Here is a 24,568-nt window from a genome sequence, read left to right on the forward strand (position 1 = left end):
GCAGTAGCTCATGCCTGTAATCCCAGCACTTTGGGAGGCCGAGGTGGGCAGATCACCTGAGGCCAGGAGTTTAAGACCAGCCTGACCAACATGGTGAAACCCCATCTGTACTAAAAATACAAAATTAGCCGGGTGTGGTGGTGCATCCCTGTAATCCCAGCTACTTGGGAGGCTGAGGCAGGAGAACTGCTTGAACCTGGGAGGTGGAGGTTGCAGTGAGCCGAGATCACACCATTGCACTCCAGCCTGGGCAACAAGAGTGAAACTCTGTCTCAAAAAAAAAAAAAAAAAAACCAACCAAGAACCAAGAATATACTATTAAATTAGGTTGCAGTTTGCTATGTATGAGGCAGCTTTAAGCCAAACTTAAAGTGTAAGTTATTACACTTACTGTTTCACATGTATAGGAATGCAATTGATTTACGTATAACTTATATTTAGAACCTTGATGCATGCTCTTATTAATTCTAATAATTTGTATCTAGATTTTCTTGAATTTTCTTTCTTTTTTTTTTTTTTTTCAAAAAGAGTCTCTGTCGCCCAGGCTGGAATGCAATGGTGTGATCTCGGCTCACTGCAACCTCCACCTCCTGGGGTCAAGTGAATCTCGTGTCTCAGCCTCCCAAGTAGCTGGGATTTAACAGGCACACACCACCATGCCCAGCTAATTTTTGTATTTTCAGTAGAGATAGGGTTTCACCATGTTGGCCAAGGCTGGTCTCGAACTCCTGGCTTCCGGTGATCCGCCCACCTCGGCCTCCCAAAGTGCTGGGATTGTGCTGGCTCCCAAAGGCATGAGCCACCATGCCTGGCTTGAATTTTCTATAAACAATCATCTTCTCTATGATCAATGACATTTTTATTTCTCCATTTTTACTTGTCCTTCCTTTCTCCCTTTCTTCCTTTCTTCCTTCCTTCCTTCCCTCCCTCCCTCCTTCCTTCCTTTCTCACTCTTTCTTTTTCTTTTCTTTCTTTTTTTTTTTTTTTTTGAGACGGAGGTGTCCAGGCTTCAGTGCAGTGGCGCGATCCCGGCTCACTGCAAGCTCCGCCTCCCGGGTTCACACCATTCTCCTGCCTCAGACTACAGCCGCCCGCCACAACACCAGGCTAATTTTTTTGTATTTTTAGTAGAGAAGAGGTTTCACCGTGTTAGCCAGGATGGTCTCGATCTCCTGACATCGTGATCCGCCGGCCTCGGCCTCCCAAAGTGCTGGGATTACAGGTGTGAGCCACTGCGCCCAGCCGTCTTTTCTTTCTTATTATGTTGGACAGGACCTCTAATTGATTGTTGATGAGTAGTAATAGGAAGTAATAGGAAGCATTTATTGTCTCATTCATTATTTCATAGGGAATCATTCTAATGTTTAATCATGAAATACTTGTTTTTGGTAGCTATCCTTTAATGAATTGTCTATCAGGTGATTTTTCTCTAAATATTGAGATGAGCACAACCTTTAATATATTTATATGGTGAGTTACACTAATTGATTTTTGAAAGTTAAATTATCCTTGCATTTCTGAGGTAAACCCAAGTTGACTATGATTTACTTATTTACACAGAGCCAAATTATAATTGTTAATATTTTCTTTAGAATTTGTACGTCTACTTACATAATTTAATTCATCTATAATTTTTTTATCTTATACTGTTTTCTATTTTTTGGTATCAAGGTTATACTTGCCCTAAAAAATTTGTCGGGGAGTGTTCCCTCTATTTCTGTTCTCTAGAAGATTTTATTTAAGATTGGAATACTCTGTTCTTTGAATATGTTGTAGAATTCACTAATAAAGTCAAAATCATCTTAGCCTGTTGTATTTACCTGTTTGCTTGGTAGGTAAATTTTTAAATACCAATTCAATTTATTTAACAGATATTAGAAAATTCAGGATTTCTAGTTCTTCAATCAATTTTGTTAAATTATATTTTTCTAAGAAAGTCTACATTTTGTCCAAATTTTGAATTAGCACAAAACTGTTTCTAGTTACTACTTTTAGATCTCTAGTGTGTCTTGGTTACATTCTTCTATTATTAACAATTTCTATTTGTACCTTTTCTTATATTTTCTTGATCAGTCTTACCAAAGGTTTGTCTGTTTCTTTAATCTTTACCAAAAAACAGCTATTCATTTTATTGTTCTCGCATTGGATATTGTTTCTATTTCATTATTTTCTGTTTATATTTTCTTTCTTCAAGTTTGTTCTGATTTTATTTTCTTACCTTAAGTTAGATGTCTGCCTAGCTCATTGATTTATTCCTTTATTTTTCTTAATATAACCCTTAAGCTTAGAAAGAATTTAAGCACTATTTTAGCTTTATGTCACAAGCTGTGGTAGTAATATTTTCATTATCATTCAGTTCTAAATATTTTCTATTTTGTTATGTTTTCATGACCCATGGGATATTATTTTGAAGATTATATCTAATTTCCAAACAGATTTATTTTAAGCTATTTTAAAAATTGAATTATATGTTAATTGCATAACGGATGATGGCTAGAGAACATAGACCAACTGAGAATATCTTTAAAACTGTTGAATTTAGTGATTTCTTATCTAGAGTCTTTGGCAAAATGTAAATAAATAAAAAGAAAATTGTTAAATTTGGAATATGGTCAATATACATAACTGTTCAGTGTCTATTTAAGAGGACTATGTATTCTCTCATTGTTGAGTGGGGAATTCTATACACATAAATCAAATAAAAATTGTGTAACTCAATTCTATATTCTCATTAATTTTTTTTTTTTTTTTTTACTGGGTCATCTACAAGTTACTGAGAGAGCTGTTAAATCATTATGATAGTGGATTTGTCCCCTTTGCCTATAATTCTGCCAGGTTTTGCTAATAATCCTTTTCAACTTAACATCTATTTTGTCTGATTTTATTTTATTTTATTTTATCTTTTGGAGACAGGGCCTCAATTTGTCACCCAGGCTGAAGTGCAGTGGTGTGATTTCGGCTCACTGCAGGCTCCACCTCCTGGGCTCAAGTGTTCCTCCTGCCTCAGCCTCCCAAGTAGGTGGTACTGAATATAAGTTCAGCTAATTGTAGAATTCTAGGCTAACAGTTAACTTCTGTCAGCCCTTTGGAAATATACTAACGTCTTCAGACTTTCATTGTTGCTATTGAAAAGTGTATTCATTTTTTTATGGCTGTCACAAATTATCATGACTTTACTGGATTAAAAGAGCACAAATTTATTGTTTCAAAGTTCTGTAGGTCAAAAGTCAGGAATGGATCTCACTGGGCTAAAATCAAGGTGTTGGTCAGCTGGCTTTATTCCTTTCTGAGGGCTCTTGAGTTTGTTTCCTTGCTCATGCAGATGTTGGAAGAATTCAGTTCCATGCAGTTAAAGGACTGAGGTATGTTTCCTCACTGGTTGTCAACTGGGAGCTACCCTTTACTCTTAGAAGCTCCTTTCTGATCCTTGCACATAGCCTCCTACATCTCAGGATCAAATTCTTCCCATCCTGCCATCTCTTTGACCCAGCTAGTCAGCATTCTCTACTTTTAAATACTTTAGTGATTAGATTGGGCCCACCTGGATAATCCTGGCTACTCTTCCCATCTGAAGGGTAACCTTAACTACTTCTGCAGAGTCCCTTTTGCCATGTAAGGTAACATATTCATAAATTTAGGGGATTAAGGTGTAAACATCTTTGCAGGGTGTGGGGAGGACATTATTCTGCCAAACAAAGAAATGGGCTGTCAGTCTAATTGTCTTTCCTTTGTAGATGATTTGGCTGTTCTCTCTAGCTGCTTTTAAGATCTGGCTGTTTCTTGGAATGTATTTCTTATTTATCCTTGTGAACACTGACTCTCCTCCATTCTCTTTTAAAATTCCTACTAAGCACAAACTAGATCTTTCTTCACTCTTTCTTTCTCTCTTTCTTTCTTAACAGGGTCTTGCTCTGTCACCCAGGCTGGAGTGCAGTTGCTCTATCATGACTCACTGCAGCCTCAAATGCTTGGACTCGAGCAATCCTTCAGGTAATTTGTGTGTGTGTATGTGTGTGTGTGTGTGTGTGTGTGTGTGTGTGTGTGTGTGTAGATGGAGGTCTCACTATGTTGCCTAGGCTGGTCTCAAACTCCTGGCCTCAAGTGATCCTCTCACTTTGGCCTCCCAAAGTGTTGGGATTATAGGAGTGAGCCACTACGCCTTGCCAACTAGATCTTTCAAATCTGTCCTCTCACTCTCAGCTCAGCTCTGCACCACAGGCCTCAAGCATGTGTGGATGCTTCAGCACCCATGTCCAAGCCTCATACCTACAGATGATCATCTATTGGCTATTCTTGATGCAGACTTTGGCACAGTCCACCCTCAGGAGGAGGGATGCAAGAAAGAGACCCGATCAAGCCCTGGAAGTAGACTCAGAGCTGTTAGGGCAGGAAATTTTGGGGCTCTGCATTCCTAGTGGGTGATTTAGGAATGAAGAGTGTGGGGTCCAGATGAATCCAATCTTTTGGCCGTGTGGACTCCTCACCTTGTGAGCATGGGCACAACTGGAGGAAGGCTAGAATGAGACCCTCTTAAGTAAGGAGCCTAAGGCAGGGGGCCTCTCAATCCAGGGGTACAAGGCAGATCCCCTCTTACTCAGATCCAAGGGCAGTGCCATATGAGACAACAAGCACACTTCTTTCAAGAGGGAGAATGCTAGTAAGGTAAGGCAAGGAAGAGGAGGAAGTGTTCTGTGCAAGAGGTTGAGGATGTGAGGTCAGGAAAGTTTGGAAGTACAGAGAAATATGGATTTAAAAGTAGGCAAGAGATGCATGGTGAAATTAGCTGGCCTCTACATTGCAAGTAGAACCGTGTAGTCAACTTTGGGCATAGTTACAGCAGATTCAGCCTTTATAAAGGCTATTCTTTCTACCTAAACAACTCTTCTGACTGCTCCTGATTTGCTACATCCCTTATGTTCTCAGCTTGAATTTCACTTGCTTTAGGAGGCCTTGCTCCAAGCCCCTGATTAATCTATCCCTCTCTGTCTTCAATTTTTCCATAAACTCTGTAGTTCTCTTTTTGTTATATCTAATCACACTTGTTAAGTTGTCCATGCCTTTTTGATTATTCAGGCTAAAAGGTTTATGAAGACATCTGTCTTGTCCGGCATCATATCCTGGGACCCACAAAGTGACTGAAATATATCTGGTGGTCAATATATATTTGGTGAGTAGATAATATGTCCTCATGGTGTTTGAGTGGCATTGCTTGATGTAGCTGAATCCAAATAGAATATCAGCTTTTTTATGTCCTTCCACTTCAAATTGTTTCATTTTACACATAATTTTTCAGAGCCAGTTAATCAGACAAAGATGATTTATTTTCATACCTAAAGCACTTTATAATATTCTCTGGAAAATCTAAAATCATTCTGTTATCCTAACATTTTTATACTATCATCATTTTAGAAAATAAAAGGCCTGCGTTATATACTAGAAAAATTTCTTCATTATATGCAAAATATTTATCTCCTCTAGTAAAGGAGATTAAAGAACAACTGCAAGAGGAAGGAAGGTCCTGAAAGTGTTTCATTTGGTATCTACCTACCCCAACCCCAAGACATAAAGACAGATAAAGGCACTAAGATGCTAGTATGTGGCTAGTCCTTTCAATAACCCAGTCAGTCCATACAGATAACCCATGGGATATATTCAAGCCACTCTTTGAGCCATCGATGGTCATTATTTGGTTAGTTCACCCAAGGTAAGGCCATACCAGCTGTTAAAATGATGTAGAGATTAATCAACAGGGCTGCCACTTGCGAATCCCCTCCAAGGATGCTGTGCAAAGGGTCTCATTGGTCCTGATGAGTAATCTTGTGACTGTACATATTCCTGGGTGCATGTCCACAAATACTGAGGTATAGCCTGCATGCCACTAAAAATAACAAAGGTTTCAGGGCTGGAGACATTGTCAACCACACTGTCATGACCATCTATAGCTCCAGGACTCAGTGGTGGGGGAACAATATTTAACGGATGTCCCTGGCAGAAGAAGCCTGTGAGTACTTCAGCCTCAAACACATAGATCAGCTTATCTGCAGCAGAGATTTTCTTGGCCTTCTCTGCCAGGTTTTTGAGGTTCTTGGTGAAGTATATGCCAGCTCCGTATTTTGGATCTGATAAAGGAAAAAATAAAATAAAAAGATTATTATAATCTGGTAAATGATATTGCCGATTTGGGTACTAATATCTATTCTTTCTTTAGTCTTCCAAATAATCACTTCCTCCTGATTCTGAGTTCCTGTGTCTATAGCAAAGACACTCAAAATTGTTCCTTGAAACAAATTATCACTGACACCATCAACATCATAATAACTTACATTCAAATATACCATTAGGGCTGGGCACAGTGGCTCACACCTGTAATCCCTGCACTTTGGGAGGCTGAGGCGGGTGGAACACCTGAGGTCAGAAGCCTGGCCAACATGATGATACCCCGTCTCTACTAAAAATACAAAAATTTAGCCAGGTGTGGTGGCAGGCACCTGCAATCCCAGCTACTCAGGAGGCTGAGGCAGGAGAATCACTTGAACCCAGGAGTCGGAGGTTGTAGTGAGCCAAGATCGCACCACTGCACTCCAACCTGGGCAATAAGAGCGAAACTCTTAAAAAAAAAAAAAAAAAAAAAAAAGAACCATTAGTGTTCATAGAGAAGTTAATGGTTTTCAAAGTATTGCACATTGATTAGATTAAATTATCTGTGATTTGGGTAGTAACTCCACGTAAAAGACAAAGATCTGAGATTCAAAGAACTTAGATTCAAGTCAGTATTATCAACTAAGTAGCTGACAGAGCATAACAAAAGGAAGGTTCTGTTTCCCTTAGAACATTGTCTGACTTCGGCCGGGCGCGGTGGCTCACGCCTGTAATCCCAGCACTTTGGTAGGCCGAGGCGGGCTGATCACGAGGTCAGGAGATGGACACCATCCTGGCTAACACGGTGAAACCCCGTCTCTACTAAAAAAAATACAAAAAAATTAGCCGGGCGCAGTTGGGGGCGCCTGTAGTCCCAGCTACTCCGGGGGCTGAGGCAGGAGAATGGCATGAACCCGGGAGGCGGAGCTTGCAGTGAGCCGAGGTTGCGCCACTGCACTCCAGCCTGGGCAACACAGCGAGACTCCGTCCCAAAAAAAAAAAAAAAAAAGAACATTGTCTGACTTCTACATGCTACAAATAGGGATATTTCCAGAACTCTCAAGAAGATGGTTTGAAAATAGCATCTAATAAGAGAAGACGGAGTGCCTCCTAACCTCATGAACAGCATTACAAGAAAAATATGTCATCTGGGCCCGGTGGTACACACCTGTAATCCCAGCACTTTGGGAGGCCAAAGTGGGTGGATCGCTTAAGCCCAGTATGGGCAACATGGCAAAACCCTATCCCCACAAAGAATACAAAAATTAACCAGGCATGGTGGTGCACACCTGTAATCATAGCTACTCAGGAGGCTGAGGTGGGAGGACTGATTGAACTCAGGAGGTTGAGGTTGCAGTGAGCTGTGATCGTGCCACTGCACTCCAACCTGGGTGACAAAGCAAGGCCCTGTCTCAAAAAAAAAAAAAAAAAAAAAGGAAAGAAAAAGAAAAATATGTCAAGGGGAATGTGGAGTATATAAAATGACAGTGTGCATACTTCATTGTTTAGGAAAAGCACTCCTGGATTTGGAAGGACAGAGGCATTCTAGTCACCAGGAGGGTATTGTGTACTCTCCATGGGTTGGCACAATACCTCATGAAGAATCTCCACGTGCATGTTATCTAGGTCCATGCTCACCGGGCAACTTTCCACCCATCAAGCACTCTGGGGACTGTGATACTAAGGAAGATATGCCCTATTCCCACCACTAGAAATGAGTACTCTCCATTCTGACACATTGCCTGTGATCTGTATTATCTTCTTTGGGGTATTAAAAACACTCAGGAGGCTGAGGGCCAAATTCTGGATCTCGAAGTAATCCCTGTTCACTGCCCTTTCTGACCTCACTTAGAGGGAAAAAAATTATACCTTCTTTGATGCCATATTATCCTTCCTTCCTTTCCTTTTTTCATTTCTTCCCTCTCTTTCTTTATGTGGGATGTAACCAAACACTTTTAGGCTCAAGAGCAGAACTAAACAACAGAAACGTACTATGAGTCACACATGTCGTTTAAAACTTCCAGGCTGAGTGGCTCATGTCTGTAATCCCAGCACTTTGGGAGGCCAAGGCAGGAGGATTGGTGGAGGTCAGGAGTTTGAGACTAGCCTGGGCAACACAGTGAGACCCAATCTCTACCAAAAATAAAAAAATTAGTCAGGTATTGTGCCACTCACCTGGATTCCCAGCTACTCTAGTAGCCACATTTTAAAACATTTTTTTAAAAAAGGTGAAATTAACATTTTTATTTAAGCCATTCAAGATGTTATTTTAACATGTAATCTATATTTTGAAAAGTATTAGATATTTTACATTCTTTTGTAGTAGGTCTTTGAAATCCGGTGTGTATTTTATACTTACAGCATCTTTCAATTTAGACCGGCCACATTTCAAGTGCTCAATAGCCGCATGTAGCTAGCGGCTACAATATTGAACAGTGCAGCTCTGGAAATTTAAAAGTGAGTAAGATATGATCCCTATTCTCAACATTTCACAAAGGGAAGTCTCATCATGTAAACAGATAAAATATAGTACAATTTATGTGGCAAGGTAATATTTTGAGATAAAAATCAAAGATTTTCTTTCCCGGGAGTTTCTTCTTGCTCTTTGTTCTTCCACCTATTGAGTCCTTGCTACTTCTTATTAAGGGCGAAAAGGATAAAGATGAGAACAAAGTCTATATATAAATATATGTATAGTTTTTTGAGAACTGCCTGCTGGGTGCAGTGGCTCACATCTGTAATCCCAGCACTTCGGGAGGCCGAGGCGGGTGGATCACGAGGTCAGGAGTTCGAGACCAGCCTGGCCAACATGGTGAAACCCCGTATAACTGTATGTATATAATTGTATGTATCTATATGTTTGTGTTTACAAGTACATATATATATATGTAATTATTTTTAATTCACAGAAGAGAGTATGGTCTTGAAATTCTGGCTTTCAGAGTTAGCTTTTCTGAGAGGAAAAGGGCTTTTTGAACCAAAAGCTAAAAACCAGAAGGATTCAGAGCATGGGTTGTTTTTTTTTATTATTTTATTTTGTTTACCATAAATGACAGAGCAGAGAGTAATACAAAATATTCTAAGAACATTTTTCTCATTTCAAGACAAATGAAAGTTCTTTCTTCCAGCTGGTGGGAAAAGAAGTATCAGAAGTGATGTGACTAGAGCTCTTGGGGGAGCTTGGGAAAGGGCTCCCTTCACTACCCCCACTCCCTTGAGAGCCCTGGGAGTCAAGAGGGGGCAGAACAATGGAAATCTCGGAATAAGAACAATTGGAGGGACTCACAGAGCAGACAGGACCCTGGCCTGACTCTGGTGGGTGCAGTCCCTCATCCAGCTTCATCACCTGAGTGGAGAGTGGCAATGGCTGGAGAAGTCTCTGGAGCAGGTGAGGACCACTACCCAAGACCCTGCATTCAGCTTGGAGGATGAACATGCTCAAAAATTTCCTGTGTGGCAGGAGGAACACAGACATGGCCTGGAAAGGAATTTCTTCAGCATGGAAAAGACATAGAGTGGCCTGTGCAGACACTACCTGAGTGTGAAAGGCACAGGAGACTGCTAATGACCAAAGCTCAGGTGGTTTATCAAGCAGAGGACAATGGGAGCCATAAGCCAGACAACCCTCCCCACAATGCCTCTCCCAGCATAGACAAAAGAGGAGAAAAGGGGCAAACATTGCAGGAACTGAGTTTCAATCTTGAAGGGACTATGAAAACTCTGAAAATGACTGAGTTCACCTTGAACTGTCAAGATTCAAATTTTCCACATCTGTGGTCATGGGGAACGTGAGAGTTGGGTAAAGTTCCATTATAGAGCCATAAAGGAAATGAGTTCTATGCCTGAGTTTTGTAGGACTACAGATTTTAGTACTTATTAAAGTTATAGATGTCATAACAAAGGAATGGAGGTATGCAGGAGCACAGAGGAGGAAGATACTTACTAGGCCTGTAGGCCTGCAGGAAAGATGCCAACCAGGAGATGCCATTTGTACTATGTCTTAAAGAATAGGGGTTTGTAGCACTGAAAAGGGCAAGGAGGGAAGTCATTCCACAGACAACGGGATAGAGGCATGAAAGTAAACAGCATGTTTAGGGAACTCTAAAAAGTTAATGGCTGCAGTCTTGAGGAACATAGTGGGTGATGACTGCTGAAATAATGTGGGAGCTAGGGCCTTATATTCTCTGCTAAGGAGTTTGGGCTTTTATCCCGTAGGCAACTGGGAATACAGATATTAAGCAAGAATGTAATTTTTAGCGTGATAATTCTGGTGGTAAAGGATAGATTAGGTAGGGGTGTGTTTTGTGGCAAGGAGAGGACCTAGTAATAGTCTAGGTCTGAAGGAAGATTAACTAAGGCAGTAGGAATAGAGAGGTGAAACTGGGCTGAGATCTTCATGAGAGTGAATCACTAGGACTGGGTGAATGCCTGGGTATAAGGGTGAGGGAAAAGGAGGAATGGAGGATGATAATGTTTCAGCCTTAGGAAACCTGGTAGGTAGATGGTGATGATACTAACCAGGTTAGGGAGAATCAGCAAACAAAGGGCATATTTCTTAGGGAAAATCATGACCAAGAAAAGGGATCAATTTGAGTTACCTATGGGACATCTGGGTAAAGATGTCAAAAAGAGAGTGAGACATATGAACCTGCAGGTCAGGAGAGAGGTAGGGAGTTAAGAGTTAGAAATTCCTAAGTCGTCATCATTGAGGTAGGAGTTGAGGCCATGGGAACAGGTGCCATCACCAAGGGGGACATCGTAGAGGAAAAAAGAGAGAAGATAAAGAATGGGCAACAGGTGAACTCGTGAGATTATAAATTGTAAGGGCAAGAACTCTATGGTTTTTTATTTACACTCTATTTCTAGTACCCCTAGCACAGGGCCTGATTCATAGAATGTGCTTAATAAATACCTGTGGAACAAATGAATCAACCCAGTAAGAAACTGCATGTGTAGATGCCTTCTTGCTGCACTCAACCAAGTCCTACAAGCAAGAGATTTATTCAGAACTGGTTGGAATGCAAACATAAATAGAAAAAAGAAAATAAAGGTTTGTTAACAGAAGTTCTGTCTCCTTTGCCTGTGGGTGGCCATCTAAATTGACTGAGAGTCCTATAATTTGGAATATTGCACGGCTGAAAAAGCTAAGAGCTTTTGTACTCCAAATAACAACAGCTTCAGTGGTAGCAAGATTGGTGTCTCCTGGGCTTGTCTGGCACCTTCTGTTAAGAGTTCTCTCTAGCCTACAGAGATGAGTCAATTGGTGCAGGTCACATTATGAGTCATGTCTGAATTGCCTCAAGGCAGTGGCTGTTAAGCTAAGGGATAGGGAGAAGGGCAGAGCACACAGACAGCAGGTAAGAGACCAAAATCTTGAGTTGAAAGACTATATGGAGACAAGATCTGTGGTTAGGTTATAAAGACATAAACTTAACCAGAAGAAATTAGGCCTCGTGCCCACTGAATTTTTAAAGGAACTGTATTGCTGAAGAAACCACAAGCCTGGTTGCAACAGCCTGAGCACATTCTAGCCTGTGAGAAAATCCATGGCTCCCTGATAGGCAATGAACCTGGAAATAGCCAAGGGCCACAATATATAAGGAAGATTTTCCCAGAGTGCAAAATAAAGGTTTTACAACATGGAATAGGGAGTCCTCTCTATACCTGTTCGGCAGCATGTAGATAAGTGGTGTGAGCCAGTGGCTGTTGTGTGTTTTGCTTCTCCCCTTTCAACATGAGAGTTTTCATTGCAGTTTTCCCGCTCCTTTTTATATCACTATATAATGAGTATGTTGGGGGCAGTATCTTGCCTTTAAGCTTTAAGAGAGAACTGCCTGCTGGGCATGGTGGCTCATACCTGTAAGCCCAACACTTTGGGAGGCTGAGGTGGACGGATCACGAGTAGCTGGAGATCAGCCTGGCCAACATGATGAAACCTCGTCTCTACTAAAAAAAATACAAAAATTAACTGCACGTGGTGGCACATGCCTGTAATCCCAGCTACCTGGGAGGCTGAGGCAGGAGAACTGTTTGAATCTCGGAGGCGGAGGTTGCAGTGAGCCAAGATGGTGCCACTGCACTCCAGCCTGAGTGACAGAGCAAGACTCCGTCTCAGAAAAATAAATAAATAAATAAAGAGAGAACTGCCTGAACTTGAGCTGATGATGAGTCTGGCTAAGACCTTGGGACCATATTCCTTGGGAGGATAGTGGGTGTCTTAGATGTTTTAGTAAGAAAGATGTGTATAGATGTTGGGTAGGCAAGTAGCAGAGTCTGTCACAGGACTGAAAAGAGAATACTCACTAGATTTGGAAAGTAAGAGCACAGCGATGATCTTAATGAAAGTAATTTAAGTAGAAGTAGTGGGTGGGGATTGCAGAGAAGCCAGCTTTAGGAGCAAATGGAAATTATAGATTTTTTAAGACTTTGCTAATGAAGGGACTATACTGATCATCACTTTCCTGATTGCCCCAAAAGGCTTCTTGGTAGGGATTCATTTCTCTATTTTTATCCCCAGTAATTGTCTATGTTCAACATTTACCCCAAGTTTTGCCTATGTTCTCTCCAGAACAAAGAAAAGATGATTTCTAGAGCCTTTGCATCCTAGAAACCAAGTCTATTGGAATTGACTCCTCAGCAAGGATCATGCTACATATGTTGAAAGATAAAGATCAAGAGCCACATATTTAATAGACCAAGCAAAATCAAGCCACCCCGCTAAGTATCTCTCCATAATTTTTACTAAATTTCTTTTCCTCTTTTGGAGAGAACTAAAGCCAGAAATCTTCATTAGTGACTGAGGAGTAGAGGGGGCAATATAAGAATTATATATGCAATGTTTTTGTACATCTGAAAAGAGACATGGGAGTTACACATAGAACTCCTATGGATGAAGAGGATCTTAAGATGTTATGCACTTCACCTGCCAAATGATACCTAATTCATTCACTAGCAGGCTATAGGAAACAAAGGGATGAAAGAGAAAAGACCAACTTTCTTAAATTTGGGAAAATGCCCTTTTAATTAAGGGATGAGGACGGTTCAGTGCTGTTGGTAATAATTTTGTTGAGATAAGTAAGGCAAAAAAAAAAAAAAAAAGCCTCAACGTGTTCTCTGCGGATAGGACACAGAAACACATAAAGGAGAAAAACAGTGAACCGTAGTTCTTACTGCTCACACTTTTCATCAATGTAAAATGCATCAGCAACAAAAGATACGAAGGAAAAGTAAAAAATACCACTCTTTCCAAAATACTTTGTGACCTGGGTCATCATTTGTGACCTCTAAATCACAGTCACAAATGATCCCTTCCCCACAACAACAAATGCTATCAGTGGAAGAATCTACTGATGTCAGCTCACCAAATTCCACAGAGTAGCCCCAATGATGAGGCATTGACACCTACCGCAAGGTGTCGAGTACATTCTTTGAAAGCCAACTCTGCATACCACATTGCAGAACTGGTATGGGACTTGCTGAAACAGCCTATGGCTCACAGGTTGCCTGTGCAGTTTTTCTTCCATCATTTTCTTCTTTCTTTGAAAGGCAGCCATAAGGACCTCATTGTCTATCTTCTCCACCTAGAACCATAGAAAAGAAAGACTGAAAAAGAGGCTAGAGAACCGCTCTTTAAATTGCCTGCTATACTGCTTCAAAAATAAAGGAGCTTATGTGCATAATACTACTTTGCATGCAATTCGCTTTTCATAGAAAGTTGCAAAAGAGTCTCTCCTCCCTCTAATCCTCTCCTATTTTGATTCGTTCTTCAAAATTCCCTGCCCCTTCTCTAATAAATTCCTTTAACAAAAATTCACTGACCTAGACATAGTCTCTGCCCTCTTAAGCTCATAGTTTAGTGAGATAGAAAAATAGGTAAACAATTATAACACAGTGTGATAAATGCTATTCCACTTCTTTTATTTTGCTCAAAGACGGGCTTCCTGGATCTGGAATCCTTGCTTCTGTGTGTCCTGATGTCATTCCTACCTCCCGATTCCAACTATATCCCTCGTGCCTGCCCTGCCCTGCTCTCTTTTCAGTCTTACTGACCTAGGATTCCAAGTCCATGAGCAGCCAGCTTAGAATCATCAGCAGGTGAGCTTTTCCTTTGGCTACAGAAACAAGTTAATTAACAACAAAATGAGCCAAATCTTCCCCTTTGTTAGGTATACCTTTAGAACCTGCAAACCACATTTTTCAAACTGTTTCTTTTGATCTAGAAGCTCTTGAGTTGGAGGCACAGGACATTTCAGAAATATGATATTTTCTTTCATTTCGTCTTGGGTTTTTTGTTGCTGAATAGTCCACTGTCCTAAAAATGAGTAACACAAAAACTTTACTTCAATGCTCTGAGAGAGGAGAAAAGAAATTTAATGAAACAAATTCTAGAAATTTAGAGGAAGGGATTAGCCAGTTTAAATTGTGTGCCTCATGTGTTTAGGACATGCGAGGAGAGCTATAATACTACGAGCGGTCAGGATAAAATAAAGGGGTAATAAATTTGTCTTTGGATGATTTGAATCATGAGGCTAAGGGGATGTGAGTAAAAGGAGCATAATATATACTTGCTTCTCCACAATCAATGCTGTAATGATGAGAAATAATTGTGTTGCTCATAGGAAATGTTTTTATTTCTAGCCCCAATGCCTATCAGCAAAAACAGACAGGCATTAGAAAATATTAAGTAAGGAATGATGGGAAATGACATGACATTTGTAAAACACTTCAAAATTTTCAGTTTCCTTCCTTATTTGATCATTATAGCACCACCACGTAATAATTAACACAATTTTACAAATAAAGAAATTGAAGTTCAAATAAGTAACTTGCCCCATATCACACACCTAGTAAGTAAAGAACTAAGATTACAAACCTGGCTTTCACCAATGCTTTTTGTAAGTGACAAGGCAAAATACTTGGAACATGTATCACTCATATACCACCCAATGAAGAAGAGCAAAATTTGGAGATTAAGAGTCTATGATGTCTTGTTTTTCCTCCCTTCCTCCTTTCTCCTCCTCCCATTTCCCTCCCTCCCTCTCCTTCCTTCCTTACTTCCTTCTTTCCTTCCTTCCTTCCTCCTTCCTTCCTTTTTTTCCTCCCATCCTTGTTTTCAACCTGTTTTTGTCCAAGGGAGCTCCTTACTGGACTAAATATACAGGTGGACAAATGAAAACCAAAAAAGACTTGTTTTCTCTTGGTTTACTTTTAGTTTGACTTAAGACCAAGTATACTAAAATGACCTAATCCCTGGTTCATTATCTAATTGAATGGGCTCAATTTAACCACAAAAAGCAGGTGACGAATTGAGGGGAACTCACTAGAGAGCCAAGTTGTAAATCTGAGAAAGTAGGAGGGACAAAACTCCATAGCAGAGGAGTTGCAAAGCCCAGAAACTACAACAGAAGACTGTAAATTAACTTTGGGGAGCAATAGCTCATATTTATAAGGTGTAATATTAGAGTTCAGTTTACTTGAGTTCAACAAACATTTGCCAAGCTCCTCCTACATGTCAGGCACTGGGCTGGGCACTGGGGACCCAAAGATCACAAACTTCTGCCGTTGGAAATGCCTACCAGGAAGGATTAAGAGTGGCATAAAAGAGAGGCCATGCCTAACTTTGATTTAAAAAATAAAATTATTGTTCTGATGGATATTTGATATTCCTTATAATGATAACTCATCTCAAAATTATCCATTTTGTTAATGAAGATCTTAATCTGATTAAGACAGGGCAGGTTTGCCTGAACCTCTAAGGCTTCTATGGAATAATATGCTTAGTCCTCAACTACCAAAAGTGCCATCGTGCGGCAGAGCAAGAGACTTATATGACTCAAAATTGTCAATAGCTGGGAGCATTGGCCCACCTTATGATTTCAGTTAATTTAAAGCAATGCCACACACACACACACACACACACACACACACACACTCTAACAAAATAATGCCACAAGTTTTATAGGAGATCCATGTTTCTTTGTATCCTGTTCCCCTAAGCTGGCACTGGTGTCAGTTTCAATACCTACATTCACTGTTTCAAAAACTAAGCGAAAATCATAATCTTGGTTCTTATGCTTGTGTATTCTTTTTATCCATGTTTTTTTTTTTGCCACTGTGTTTTCTGTGGGATGTAAATACAACATTTATGGCGAACTCTCGCTCACTCTAATCATTTATTCCTGCATTATTTTTACAAACACATGGTGAAAATAAGGTGTCCTTTGAAATTTTGCCTCTGAATTTTTGTACCTCTTACTAAATCCATTCTCCACATTATAACCAATGATCTTTCTAAAAACACAAGTCTGATGTTAACTTTGCTTAAAATTCTTTAAGGTTCCCTATTTGTTTCAAGAAACTCTCTGTACTCTTTCACGTGATTTATAAGGTCTTGCATAATCCAGGCCTTGCGACAATCTTATTTCTTGACGTTTTCTTTCTTTGCCTGACTTCTACCTATTATCCAGTTCTCCATTTATGACACCTGTGATAAGCCCTTCCCTGACTTCCCAAGTCTGGGTTAGGTGCCTCTCCGCAGTGCTCCCAGAGCACTTTTCGCTCTCCTCTATCATCACTAATCTGTGTGCTCGTCAAGGTCCCCCATTAGACTTTGAGCAGGAACAATGTCTATCTTGTTTATTGCTGTAGTCCTTGCACCTAGCACAATGCTTGGCACGTCATGGGTGCAATATGCATTAGTTGAATGATATCTATATCTATCTCTATCTCTATCTCCCAAGATGGCATTTCTTTCTTTCTTTCTTTCTTTCTTTCTTTCTTTCTTTCTTTCTTTCTTTCTTTCTTTCTTTTTTTTTTGAGACAGAGTTTCGCTTTTGTTGCCCAGGCTGGAGTGCAATGGTTCGATCTTGGTTCACTGCAACCTCTGCCTCCTGGGTTCAAGTGATTCTCCTGCCTCAGCCTCCTGAGTAGCTGGGATTACAAGCATGGGCCACCATGCCTGGCTAATTTTTTTTGTATTTTTAGTAGAGACAGAGTTTCTCCATGTTGGTCAGATTGGTCTTGAACTCCCAACCTCAGGTGATGCGCCCACCTCGGCCTCCCAAAGTGCCGGGATTACAGGCGTGAGCCACCGTGCCCAGCCCCGAGATGGCATTTCAATAGTATAATTTCCTAGTTAGCTCTAGGGCTCTGTTAAAAGGATCTCTCCAGATCCAAATTCCCACGTGTATCCTGATGAGTTTAGTCCCGCTGAATGGGAGATACTTGAGTGTACCTCACATTACCAATGTATAACTTCATTGGCGAGAGGGCTCAAGGTAAGTAATTTTAGCGTTCCTAATGCTGTCAGTGACAAATAAATACAATAAAACTTGATAAAAGAAATAAGTTAATCAGATGGAATGTGTCTACACTTGAGTGCTGCATCTGAAGAATTAGAAATGTATACTTTTCCCCATGGCTTGGGCTTGAGTTTTACCACTGCCAAAATTCCATGTAATTGCCTCTTAGACAATCAAGGTTATTACAAGTAAATAAAATTGTGTTTGTGTATGTGTTCACAAATAACCCTGATTGTCAAAAGAGAGCAAAAAAATAGCTCACAAAGGCTTATGATCTAACAAAGAACCAGAATGTTTGATCCCTCCTCTCTCCTTCTGTCTCTTACCCACATCCATACATACACGCTCACACCCAAAAGAAGAAACAATGGGGAGAATTTACTTTCTAATTTGATAGAAAGTTACTCACCTAACGAGCGCCAAAGGCCTCGCTCCTTTTTCCTTGCCATTTCCTCCTGTACTTTACAAAGCATATCTTCAATGTTCATAACCACCTCAATGAGGTCAGCCCGGGCTCCTTCAATCTCTAACTCTGTCCTTCCTGGGCTGATAATTTCTGTGATGGAGACACTTGAAGTTTTCTGAAGCTGAGACAAAATGTCATGTTCCTTTCTCCCAAGGTACAGAATATGATTATTCTCAATGATGTGGTGGTTCTGGAGACTCAGGATTCTTTGGATCCATGCGTGGGCCTCATACATCTCTTCCACGTTGAATCCCATCAGATTGATGGCAGGAGATCTAGCTTCAAGCCCATTTTCTCTTTTCTCCTCTCTGGTTGACTGGGGGACTGAAATGACTATAATAAGCAACCATGGAAGACTAGCAGTTTTTTGTTTTTTTTTTGAGATGGAGTCTCGCTCTGTCTCACAAGCTGGAGTGCAGTGCTGCGATCTCAGCTCACTGCAAGCTCCGCCTCCCGGGTTCACGCCATTCTCCTGCCTCAGCCTCCCGAGTAGCTGGGACTACAGGCGCCCGCCACCAAGCCCGGCTAATTTTTTGTATTTTTAGTCGAGACGGGGTTTCACCGTGTTAGCCGGGATGGTCTCAATCTCCCGACCTCGTGATCTGCCTGCCTCGGCCTCCCACAGTGCCAGGATTACAGGCGTGAGCCAACGTGCCCGGCCGACTAGTGGGTTTTAAAACAGTGCAGAACAAAACACCATGGCCAGTGTTTTACCCCTATGATATTGTCACCACTGTCAGCAGTAGCAGCTTCAATTAAGTACCTATCTCTGAAAGCTGCATTGGGTATGAAGGAAATCAACCTGTATCGTTTACAGCCTCCTTGGGAACACAGAGTTTAGCTTGTAATGGATTAGCTTTATCGTCTCTTGCCTCTGCTATGTTGCATTTGGCAGTTCACAGATGAGTTCACCTTGTGATCTCACCCTGGATGTTAACTAAGTATTATTTCCTGCTGAATAGGATTTTCCTTAACCTCTTGCTACTAGTTTTAAAATCAAACATCTCTGAAAGACACAGAGCTTGAAGAGTCAAAATTATTTTTTAAAAAACAAACATGAATCTCTGATTTTAAGAATAATACATGTTTATTATTTAAAAATTGGGAAATTATCGACATATAATGGAAAGAAGAAATACCTGTAATTCCACTACTCAGGATTCCTCACAACCTTATGAGAAAGATACTAGTAGTTGTCCCATCTCACCAACAAGGAAACTGATTCACAGAGTCATTAAGTAACTTGCCCATGGCTATAGGACTAGTTAGTGGTGGCCATGAAGCTAGTAGGTATGGGCATCTGACTCCAGTGCTCCCACATATGCCTCCCAGTGAGTAATATCTGAATAGCAGTGGAAATTCTCATCTTTCTCCTGAGATCTCAGTTGTGTGGTACAGGAGCTACAAAAGAAGTATAAGGACAGACCTAGAAGTAAGATGGGGAGGATGGCCTTCCTCTGAGTAAAGATAAAAAAGACAAAAGCCAAGGTTTTAGACAACAGTAAGAAGTAACCCAGGTTTTATATTGGAGGCATACTTTTTTTAAAACCCTTGTTCTGTCTAGGAGATTATATTATTTTTTAGGAGAAAATAAAAACAATGCATAGTGATATTGCATTTATCCATTATTATCAAGAGAAACTTCTTTTTCTTCTTCTTCTTCCTCTTCTTCCTTTCTCCTCTCCCTCCCCCTACCCCTTTCTTCTCCTCCTCCTCCTTCTACTACTACTTTTTTTTTTTTTTTTTTTTTTTAGAGACAGGGTGTCACTATGCTGGTCTTGACCTCCTGGCCTCAAGCAATACACCCACCTTGGCCTCCCAAAGCACTGGGACTACAGGCATGAGTCAGCATGCCTGGCCAATAATCATAATAATAATAATACTAATTTTTTTTTTGAGACAGAGTCTCGCTCTGTTGCCCAGGCTGGAGTGCAGTGGTGCAATCTTGGCTCACTGCAAGCTCCGCCTCCCGGGTTCACACCAGGCTGTCGCCCAGGCTGGAGTGTAGTGGCGCAATCTCGGCTCACTGCAGCCTCCGCCTCCTGGGTTCAGACGATTCTCCTGCTGCAGCCTCCCGAGTAGCTGGGATTACAGGCGCCCACCACCACACCCGGCTAATTTTTGTACTTTTAGTAGAGATGGGGTTTCACCATGTTGGCCAGGCTGGTCTTGAACTCCTGACCTCATGATCTGCTCGCCTTGGCCTCCCAAAGTGCTGGGATTACAGGCGTGAGCCACTGCACCCGGCCAATAATTATTATTCTAACTTTAGTATATGTGTTGGCAAAGCGAGCACTATTCTTCTAGATAAGTAAATTGTTCGGATCACTAAAGGATAACTCTTCTAGCACCAAAATACACTGAATTTTAACTCTGAGTTATCTATTTATTTTTTTGAGACCAAGTCTCCCTCCGTTGCCCAAGCTGGAGTGCAGTGGCACAATCTCAGCTCACTGCAACCTCCGCCTCCTGGGTTCAAGCGATTCTCCTGCCTCAGCCTCCTGAGTAGTTGGGATTACAGGCACACGCCACCATGCCTGGCTAATTCTTTTTTGTATTTTTAGTAGAGATAAGGTTTCACCATGTTGGCCAAACTGGTCTCGAACTCCTGACCTCAGGTGATCCACTTGCCTCGGCCTCCCAAAGTGCTGGGATTACAGGCATGAGCCACCGTGCCCGGCTGAATTAAATATTTCTAATGATAACGTACCACCTCTCTGCCTTCCTAAATAGTTTTTTGTTTGTTTGTTTGTTTTTTGTTTTTTTTTGAGACAGTTTCCCTCTTGTTGCTCAGGCTGGAGTGCAATGGCGCAATCTTGGCTCACTGCAATCTCCACCTCCCACGTTTAAGCGATTCTCCTGCCTCAGCCTCCCGAGTAGCTGGGATTACAGACATGTGCCACCATGCCCGGCTAATTTTGTATTTTTAGCAGAGATGGGATTTCTCCATGTTAGTCAGGCTGGTCTCGAACTCCCGACCTCAGGTGATCCGCCTGCCTCAGCCTCCCAAAGTGCTGGGATTACAGGCGTAAGCCACGGTGCCCGGCCCTTCCTAAATAGTTTATTTAACCTTTCCTTGATAATCTGAGATCATCATCATTAATCATTTTGTTTATTTGTCACCCAGGTTGGAGTGCAGTGGCACAATCATGGCTCACTGCAGCCTTGACCTCCCCGGGCTTAGGTGATCCTCCCATCTCAGCCTCCCAAGTAGCTGGGACTATAGGTATGCACCACCACACCTGGCTAATTTTTGTATTTTTTGTAGAGATGGGTTTTAACATCTTGCCCAGGCTGGTCTCGAACTCCTGACCTCAAGTGATCCACCTGCCCTGGCCTCCCAAAGTGCTGGGATTACAGGCTTGAGCCGCCATGTCCCTTGATTAATCATCTCCATGTTAATTATTGTCCTGTGCTATATAATTCCTTTACAGATGTCCGCAAGAATTACTGAATTAAATGGTGACATTTGCCGCCATTATTCAGATTAATGACATACAGACCTTTTTATGTTCCTTTTTTATGTTATCCTCACCTAAAACTCCTCTTATGTACCCACCATGGATTCCCTGTGGTTCCCCAAACATGCACTGGATTTCTTTGCTCCTGTGGGTTTTCTCTACCTTGGATGCCCCACCCTACCCTCTCTGGACATTGGAAATCTTGCCATGCTCAAAGCCCAGCTTAGAACCATCTCATTCATGAAGCCATTCTTGATCTTTTCCAGTCAAAAGGAATCCCTTTCTCCCCTTAGCTAACTGGGGAGTTTGTCTATCTTCCCAGTCATTATTTATTGCCTGGCATTTGTTTAATGCTTTCAATTTATAGAACACTTTTACATACATAATCTATTATCCTCACAATGTCTGTTATTATCATCATTATACAGATAAATAAACAGGATCATAAAAGGCACAGTTCCAGGCCAGAACTGTTAATGCTCTCCTTCCTTACTTACAGCACTGCCAGGCCACTGAACATTCCATCTCAGTCCACCCAAACTCCACTAAAAGAATGATGTTATATGCCTGTAATCCCAACATTTTCGGAGGTGGAGGCAGGCAGATCACTTGAGCCCAGGAGTTTAAGACCAGTCTGGGCAACATGGCGAAACCCCGTCTCTACCAAAAAAAAAATTAAATAAAATAATAAAATAAATTAGCTGGGTGTGGTGGCATGTGCCTGTAGTCCAAGCTACTTGGGAGACTTAGGTGGGAGGATGGCTTGAGCCTGTGAAGCAGAGGATGCAGTGAGCTGAGATCACGCCACTGCACTCCAACCAGAGTGACAGAGTCAGAACTTGTCTCAAAAAGAAAAGAAAATATGCTCGGCATCAAAATTGACTAGGGAGCATTCAAAATAGATATGCTTGGCCCAGACCCAGAGTCCCTGAATCAGCATCTGTAGAGTTGGGACAAATACATATTTTGGGGGTTTTGCGTTTGTTTGTTTTTTAAAGTTTCCATCATGATCCCAGTGATTACTTGGGTTTGAGTAACACTGAGTTAACCCATTTATCTGGCATTACTGAGATGTGTTTTCCATAATTACAATAAGTAACCCTATTTAGATGTTCAGAGCAGAAAGAGTGACTGAATGCCAGTTTATGGAAGCCAGAACTTTTCCTTGGGAAAAAATTATAGATATCTATTTATGAATCAACCACCCACATCTTGGATTATCCACTGCAACTCAACCTTCCTCTGTTCATATCATGAAACTGGACCAAGCAAGAAAAGAATCATGATCAGGGTAGAGAGTAGGCAGGTATCCAAGCAGGACCACAATGCAATACCTTTGGCTTATTTATTCTTCTTCTCCCCTCCGTTAGTTCAGATGATCAAGAATAGAATGAGCCAATGGTGGGCGACCCTACTTATTGGCCTGTGAATTTCTTACTCACCACTGTAATTGTTCAAACTCAGCATCTTGGACCTCTTTGCCATTTCAGAACTGAAAGCCTACAAGAAGCAAAACAGAGCAGAGAGTCATAAGCAGGGCTGATAGCCATTGTCATCAAAGTCTCCCTCTCTGCACACACAGCACTTGACTTCATCCACTCTGTCAGTCCCATTCCTACTACCACAAATCTAAAGCAGCCTTTAGGAAAGTCCCAGAGAAGAGGACCTCAGTCTATTAGAACACGGAAAGAATAAGCATAGGAAAAATGGAGATGAAATCAAAATCTGGTATAAATAAAGAAGACTATACATTCCGAGACAAAATATAACCGTGCATTCATTCAACAGATTTTAATGCCCTGCTTGTGCTAAACTAAAGCTGTGGATATGTCACTGAAGAAGAAAACTATAGGTAACTAATAAAACACAAATTCATTTAAAAATGGTATACACACCAAACTTGGTCTGTAAATTGAATAATAAAATAATCTGTTTTATGTAAGTTAATTCCTATAGAGTGCTTAAAATTGTTCCTGGCTTGTAGTAAACATTAAGTACATGGTAGCTATTGTAATTGTTATTATATGAAAGTCTATAGACAAAGATTTGTGCATATTGCAACACAGATCCATTAACATAATGTCTATTAGAAATAACACATCTCACTTAGCTTTTGGAGCCATGGTATTCACTGTCTTCCTTGTTCAAAGTAGATACAATTGGCAATATAGATGGTCCTGACTTACAATGGTTTGATTTAGGACTTTTAGGCTTTATTGATGGTGCAGAAGTGATATACATTCAGTGGAAACTGTACTTGGAATTTTTAATCTTGAGCTTTTCCCAGGCTGTTGACATGTAGTAAGATGCTCTTTCATGATGCTGGGCGGCGGCAGCAAGCCAAGCTCTCAGTCAGCCACGTGATCACAAGAGTAAACACTGTATTCAATAAGTTACATGAGATACGCAACACTTTATAAAGTAGGCTTGCGTTAGATGATTTTTCCCAACTATAGGCAAATATAAGTGTTCTGAACATGTTTAAGGTAGGATAGGCTAAGCTATAATGTTTGGTAGGTTAGGTGTATTAAATGCATTTATCTCACTACAACTTATTTAGGAAGAAAATACATGCTTATTAAAAGGCTTATTAGAAGATGTATACATTATGTCTGCACACATACCTCCATGTGGATATAATGTAGTGTTAATGCTGAAAAGAGCCTGAAGGAATGGTCAACATTCACTTTTAATGTAAATTACTGTGTAAAATAATCCTCTTGTTTGAGTTACAAAACTGAAAGATGTATCATTCTCTGTGTTTCTGTTTAATGGTTCAGAACAAGGCTTTGAGGGCAGACAGACACCAAGGTTGATCTTGGTTTGGCCATGTAACTAGCTGTGTGCATATTAACCTCTGGGTTATGTTTTTGGATTTGTAAAATGGAGACGACAACAGTGGCTTCATCAAAAGATTAAGGGGAGAAGGAGATAAGACACCTTCTCAGCACAGTGCCTGACAGACACAATACATGGCACTATATATATATATATATATATATATATATATATATATATATATATACACACACACACATACACACACATATACATACACACATATATATACACATACATATATACACACACACACACATATATATATACACGTATTTTTTTTTCTTTTTTTTTTTTTTTGAGATGGCCCTGGCTGGCGTGCAGTGGTGCAATCTCGGGTCACTGCAACCTCCGTCTCCCTGGTT

At 40.8% G+C, this 24,568-nt stretch overlaps 1 protein-coding gene and 1 long non-coding RNA gene across 33 annotated transcripts in view, besides 1 other annotated feature; one reads left to right on the top strand and one right to left on the bottom strand.

Moving 5' to 3' along the window:
* The first annotated feature begins 3,274 nt into the window (after window positions 1-3,274).
* Window positions 3,275-24,568, top strand: part of LOC105374071 (uncharacterized) — a 34,072-nt gene continuing 12,778 nt past the window's right edge. Inside the window, exons 1-4 of the long non-coding RNA XR_001740869.2 lie at window positions 3,275-3,362; window positions 3,903-3,990; window positions 5,074-5,167; window positions 8,500-8,595. This is a non-coding gene — a long non-coding RNA (uncharacterized LOC105374071). The remainder of the gene's footprint in view (window positions 3,363-3,902; window positions 3,991-5,073; window positions 5,168-8,499; window positions 8,596-24,568) is intronic.
* PARP9 (poly(ADP-ribose) polymerase family member 9) overlaps window positions 5,300-24,568 on the bottom strand; it is a 36,861-nt gene continuing 17,592 nt past the window's right edge. For 12 of the 32 annotated variants that reach the window (NM_001387875.1, NM_001146103.2, NM_031458.3 and 9 more), the window contains exons 7-11: window positions 22,808-22,865; window positions 17,848-18,228; window positions 14,310-14,449; window positions 13,544-13,718; window positions 5,300-6,119 (exon numbers count right to left, since the gene is read on the bottom strand). In NM_001387875.1, the coding sequence (NP_001374804.1) occupies window positions 5,740-6,119; window positions 13,544-13,718; window positions 14,310-14,449; window positions 17,848-18,228; window positions 22,808-22,865 (1,134 nt within the window). In that variant the 3' untranslated portion in view covers window positions 5,300-5,739. Of the gene's footprint in view, window positions 6,120-8,130; window positions 8,272-9,147; window positions 13,719-14,187; window positions 14,450-17,847; window positions 18,229-22,807; window positions 23,745-24,568 lie in introns of those variants that run through there. The other 20 variants (NM_001387882.1, NM_001387879.1, NM_001387883.1 and 17 more) reach the window with 6 other exon arrangements.
* Window positions 11,258-11,552: a silencer, noted in NCBI's record as "tiled region #13157; HepG2 Repressive non-DNase unmatched - State 24:Quies". NCBI's record gives its function as "represses a minimal TATA promoter and a strong SV40 promoter by Sharpr-MPRA in HepG2 cells {active_cell/tissue: HepG2}" and the evidence as "EXISTENCE:reporter gene assay evidence [ECO:0000049][PMID:27701403]".

The sequence above is a fragment of the Homo sapiens genome, chromosome 3 (assembly GCF_000001405.40).
Source record: "Homo sapiens chromosome 3, GRCh38.p14 Primary Assembly".
Taxonomy (NCBI): Eukaryota; Metazoa; Chordata; class Mammalia; order Primates; family Hominidae; genus Homo; species Homo sapiens.